Genomic DNA, 6,668 nt, shown 5'->3' with positions numbered 1-6,668 from the left:
CAGTACCATGATATTGTTTACTGTAGCCTTATTGCGTAATTTGAACTTGGGCAATGTGATGCCTCTAGCTTTGCTCTTTTTGCTTAGGATGACTTTGGCAATTCAGGCTCCTTTTTTTGTTTTCATATAAATTTTAGAATAGATTTTTCCAATTCTGTAAAAAAAATGTTGGTAGTTTGATAGGAATACTGTCAAATCTATAGATTTCTTCAGGCAGTATGGCCATTTTTAGTTTTATTTCCTGATGGACAGAAGGAAGAATATGCTGCAATTACTTAGGGCTTAGAAGTCAAGCAGCCATCAACAGGGATGCTCTCAAAAAAGAAGGCTGCAGAGACAGGCTTACTCATCTAGGAAATGGTTGGGATGATCTATACTTGGTCAATGACATATGCATTTGAAATAACCATTAAAATGTAGAATTTTTATTAGCCATTTCTTTCAAAATATAGCTTGTAAAACTGCTAGAACCTGTAGGGATACTGGAGAGCAACACGGTAATTAAAGTCCTCTCAAACTGCAGCTATAAACATTAAGGGCTTTGGCAGAATCAATATTGAGAGTCACAAAAATCTCCTGTTAGACCTTTGATCTCCTAGTAACTGGAAGGATACAAGGTTCAATTCACCTGAAAGTTTCACAAGGCTGAATTCTACATTAGGAAACTCAGTAGAAATGATTTGGGGATTCCCCTCACTATTACTTCTATTTGACAATAAAACTGCTGATGTCAGCCTAGTCTCAAAATTTTGCTCTGTGCACCTTTATTCTAGGGCATTGGATTCCTCCAAGGCATATTTGGGCATTTTTCTTACCCATCATTGAGTGGCTCAGGTATTGTTGGGTGGCATTTGTCTTCCCTAAGTCGACTAATCCATGCCTTTAGTGAAATCAAATAGACTATTCCCATTAGCTCTTCAGAATAATGATTACACTTCAGATAATTTTCACATAGAATAGGTCACCAGCTTTTAAAGCGTGAGCAAATGGCCACCTACAGTATGAGAAAATGGAGGTTTAGGAGATCTCACACCAGACCTACTGAGTCAGACTCTCTGGGAATGGGATCATATACTTTGTATTTTAACAAGTTCTCCATGTGAATCTTATACATAAATTTCAGAATCATTGCCTGCAATCCTCAAACCACTGTTGGACAGAGGAGAACAAGGCAACTGTCTTACTTGTTTTTAGCAACAAAGAAACATTTGTTGACTAAATGAACGAGTGAATCATTAAATAATAGAAATTATTTGAAATATAAGGCAAATAAGTATCAAAGGTTACTTTTATACTTTATATCTTTTCTATTTTATGTCTTATGATCCATGTAGTTTTGTATCAGACCTGCCTGCCGTGCCTGTTAGAAATTAAGATGCCCTAGTCCCATTTCAGACCTGCACACCTTGTTCCTACAATAACGGGGCTTTGTGCAGCACACTGGACAGCAGCCACTTTTCACTATCCACAAAACACAGCTATGAAAATAATGATGGCAATCAAATAAATGTGATTTAATTTATTATCACAAAAACCTGAAGTAGAAAGTTCTGTTACCCATATCTTACATAGGGAGAAATGGAGGGCAAATAAGATAAATCATTTTCTTACTACCAAGTAAGAAGTTTCATTAGCTTAATTCATATCACCAATACACAGTGTTTCTACCACTATGGAAAAGAAAGCCAACACACACAGAGTACATTCATCCCCAAATCTTAAATGTTGAGCTCAAAGGGAGACATTATGCAAACTTGTCATGCCATATAGTTATTTCTAGCAAATCAAATCAACAAGTATTTAGAGATGGTCTTCCAAGTAAATTAAAAGTTAAATGGCAATTCCAGAGCCAGATATCAAGTGTCAAAGCAAGACAACAAGCTTCAAGGCAATGCCCCATTCTCAAATGAATGTCCAAAAGAAAAAAAAAAAAAAAGAAAGAAGGAAACCAATTATGAATCCAGTGGAAAACTAGATTATGGTTGCAGTGAACTGAGAGGGTATCTAGGAAAGGAATTCAAGCTGGATTTTGGAGGGAGACAAGATTGAGTAGTTTGGGGTGGAGTAAAGCAAAATGATTTATCTCTGGAAGTATTCTATCAGAAACATATTAAATACACTGTCACAAGTATGTTGCACCTGCATGCAGTCATCATCTCTAGCTATATGTAGGGACTCTTCTTTGAGAGAGAAAATGCAGTTAATTTGTGATCTGCATGAGAGGCAGTGAGCAAAAAAGAAAGTGCTCCTCAAAAGCATTTGATTCCCTGGAGCCTGGACTTTTTTGATATTTGAATCAATAAATTTCCTTTTATGATTAAAGAGGCCCGAGTAGGGTTCTTGTGTTTTTGTTGTTGTTGTTTTAGAGTCAAAAATTATTCTAGCCAGTAAAACAATAATACAGAATAAAAAATATACACTGTCATTAAGAAGCTTATAGTTGCCCTGGCCAGAACTTCCAACACTATGTTGAATAGGAGTGGTGAGAGAGGGCATCCCTGTCTTGTGCCAGTTTTCAAAGGGAATGCTTCCAGTTTTTGCCCATTCAGTATGATATTGGCTGTGGGTTTTTCATAGATAGCTCTTATGATTTTGAGATACGTCCCATCAATACCTAATTTATTGAGAGTTTTTAGCATGAAGGGTTGTTGAATTTTGTCAAAGGCCTTTTCTGCATCTATTGAGATAATCATGAAGTTCTGGCCAGGGCAATTCGGCAGGAGAAGGAAATAAAGGGTATTCAATTAGGAAAAGAGGAAGTCAAATTGTCCCTGTTTGCAGGTGACATGATTATATATCTAGAAAACCCCATTGTCTCAGCCCAAAATCTCCTTAAGCTGATAAGCAACTTCAGCAAAGTCTCAGGATACAAAATCAATGTACAAAAATCACAAGCATTCTTATACACCAATAACAGACAAACAGAGAGCCATATCATGAGTGAACTCCCATTCACAATTGCTTCAAAGAGAATAAAATACCTAGGAATCCAACTTACAAGGGATGTGAAGGACCTCTTCAAGGAGAACTACAAACCACTGCTCAATGAAATAAAAGAGGATACAAACAAATGGAAGAACATTCCATGCTCATGGGTAGGAAGAATCAATATCGTGAAAATGGCCATACTGCCCAAGGTAATTTATAGATTCAATGCCATCCTGTCAAGCTACCAATGACTTTCTTCACAGAATTGGAAAAAACTACTTTAAAGTTCATATGGAACCAAAAAAGAGCCTGCATTGCCAAGTCAATCCTAAGCCAAAAGAACAAACCTGGAGGCATCACGCTACCTGACTTCAAACTATACTACAAGGCTACAGTAACCAAAACAGCATGGTACTGGTACCAAAACAGAGATATAGATCAATGGAACAGAACAGAGCCCTCAGAAATAATGCCACATATCTACAACCATCTGATCTTTGACAAACTTGACAAAAACAAGCAAAGGGGAAAGGATTCCCTATTTAATAAATGGTGCTGGGAAAACTGGCTGGCCATATGTAGAAAGTTGAAAGTGGATCCCTTCCTTACACCTTATACAAAAATTAATTCAAGATGGATTAAAGACTTACATGTTAGACCTAAAACCATAAAAACACTAGAAGAAAACCTAAGCAATACCATTCAGGACATAGGCATGGGCAAGGACTTCATGTCTAAAACACCAAAAGCAATGGCAACCAAAGCCAACATTGATAAATGGGATCTAACTAAACTAAAGAGCTGCTGCACAGCAAAAGAAACTACCATCAGAGTGAACAGGCAACCTATAAAATGGGAGAAAATTTTTGCAACCTACTCATCTGACAAAGGGCTAATATCCAGAATCTACAATGAACTCAAACAAATTTACAAGAAAAAAACAAACAACCCCATCAAAAAGTGGGCGAAGGATATGAACAGACACTTCTCAAAAGAAGACATTTATGCAGCCAAAACACACATGAAAAAAATGCTCATCATCACTGGCCATCAGAGAAATGCAAATCAAAACCACAATGAGATACCACCTCACACCAGTTAGAATGGCGATCATTGAAAAGTCAGGAAACAACAGGTGCTGGAGAGGATGTGGAGAAATAGAAACACTTTTACACTGTTGGTGGGACTGTAAACTAGTTCAACCATTGTGGAAGTCAGTGTGGCGATTCCTCAGGGATCTAGAACTAGAAATACCATTTGACCCAGCCATCCCATTACTGGGTATATACCCAAAGGATTACAAAACATGCTGTTATAAACACACATACTCACGTATGTTTATTGTGGCACTATTCACAATAGCAAAGACTTGGAGCCAACCCAAATGTCCAACAATGATAGACTGGATTAAGAAAATGTGGCACATATACACCATGGAATACTATACAGCCATAAAAATGAAGAGTTCATGTCCTTTGTAGGGACATGGATGAAACTGGAAATCATCATTCTCAGCAAACTATCGCAAGGACAGAAAACCAAACACTGCATGTTCTCACTCATAGGTGGGAATTGAACAATGAGAACACATGGACACAGGAAGGGGAACATCACACTCTGGGGACTGTTGTGGGGTGGGGGGAGGGGGGAGGGATAGCATTAGGAGATATACCTAATGCTAAATGACATGTTAATGGGTGCAGCACACCAACATGGCACATGTATACATATGTAACAAATCTGCACGTTGTGCACATGTACCCTAAAACTTAAAGTATAATAATAATAAAATAAAATAAAATAAAAAGGAGCTTATAGTTAGTCAAACAATAATAGGAATAATAATAATGGAGAGTGATAAATTCCACACTAAATGCAGGCACAACACACTAGCCTAGCACAGAAAAGTACCACCTTATTCCTTACCTAGAGTTATGATGCAAACTTCTGCCACTGAAATCTATTAGTAGGGATTTATTAGCCTTTATCTTCTCTAACTAATCTTTTTCCTCTATTATATACAGAAATAAAGGTTTAAATCAATCGGTGTAGCCTATCTTCTAAATGCATAGCAAATAAACATAGCGAATGTGTACAGAAACCACCAAAAAGATTTATACATATCTTCCTTTATTTTCCTGATTTATTAATGAAGTCACAATTACAAGGAATTTTAAGTAAGGCTGTTCTTGGCTAGGGAAAATTCCTCAAACTCAACATCAAAAAGCACTATTTATACCTCCCAAGATTCTTTATTCTCTAGTTAAATAGAAAATGCCCAATTCAACGATGTTCTTAGCTTTAGAGATCTTCTGAAGTCAGAAATAGTCACTAAAAATTGTTAGGATTTGTTTTTAGTCATGAGGATTTACTTAAGAACAGGGGTGGTGCAAAAGGAGGAAAGAAGAACTTGAGAAGAGACAACTTTCATGTATAATCAATCATGTATGTGTTATGTTAACTACAGTAATGGGTAGAAGGGCAATCATTTGTCCTGTTAAAGTTAGGGTGACTCCAAGTCAGAACCAATATTAGCCAATGGCAGAACAAAAGGCAAATTTTATAGGATTTTTGAAGAGAAGGAACACAAAGGTTATACAGACATCAACATAATTCAAAGGAAGGTAAAAGTCCCAGCTCCAAGAAACTACAAGACAATTGGTGTGAGCTCATTTGTCACAAGCAGTAAAGGATGCTAGCAGGTAGAAAGAGGGTGAACTTCAGAAATACATGGGTAATTCAGACTGTAAAATTTGAGCAAAAATCATAGAATAAATTGAGTTCTATTCCATAGACTAGATGAAACATGCTGCTATGAAGAGAAAAGAAGAGGGAAAATAACTTCCTAAGATTCATTTCTTTCTTTTAATTACCAAAACAAAATCTATTTAGAGATAGAATCTCTTTCTGCTGCCCAAGCTAGAGTTCAGTGGCACAGCCATAGCTCACTGTAGCCTCAAACTCCTGGGCTCAAGTGATCCTCCCACACCAGCCTCCTGAGTAGCTAGAACTAAAGATGTGTGCCATCATGTTTGGCTATTTTTTTTTTTAGAGAGAGAGACAGGATCTTGCTATGTTGTCCAGGCTTGTCTCGAACTCCTGGCAATCTTCCTGCCTTGGCATCCCAAAGCACGGGAATTACAGACATGAGCCATTGCACCTGGCCTAAGGTTATTTTCTATTTGTTAATTTACATGATTTTATGAAGACTGAAAACTTTTGGTGAACCTGAATTTAAGCAAAGCCAGCCCTAATTGATGCAAGAGAGTAGTACCAACCTCTTACAGCCAAAAGGTTTCCTGTACTCTTTTTTTTTTTTTTTTTTTTCAGATGGAGTCTCACTCTATCACCAGACTGGAGTGCAATGGCATGATCTCAGCTCACTACAACCTCTGCCTCCTGGGTTCAAACGATTCCCCTGCCTCAGCCTCCCAAGTAGCTGGGACTACAGGCACGTGCCACCACACCTGGCTAATTTTTTGCATTTTCGTAGAGACAGGGTTTCACCATGTTGGCCAGGATGGTCTCAATCTCCTGACCTCATGATCCGCCCGCCTTGGCCTCCCAAAGTGCTGGGATTACAGGCATGAGCCACCAAACCCAGCCCTTCCTGGACTCTTAAGCAGGCTCTGTAAACAGAACTCTAATACTAAAACTCTTCCTCCAGAGGGAAAGAGGTAGTAGGGGAGAGTAAAACACTTCTATTCATAGTGTATATCTTCCTTGTTTCTAAAAGGGAG

Source organism: Homo sapiens, chromosome 2, assembly GCF_000001405.40.
Source record: "Homo sapiens chromosome 2, GRCh38.p14 Primary Assembly".
Lineage (NCBI taxonomy): Eukaryota > Metazoa > Chordata > Mammalia > Primates > Hominidae > Homo > Homo sapiens.
This window is presented reverse-complemented; position numbering follows the sequence as displayed.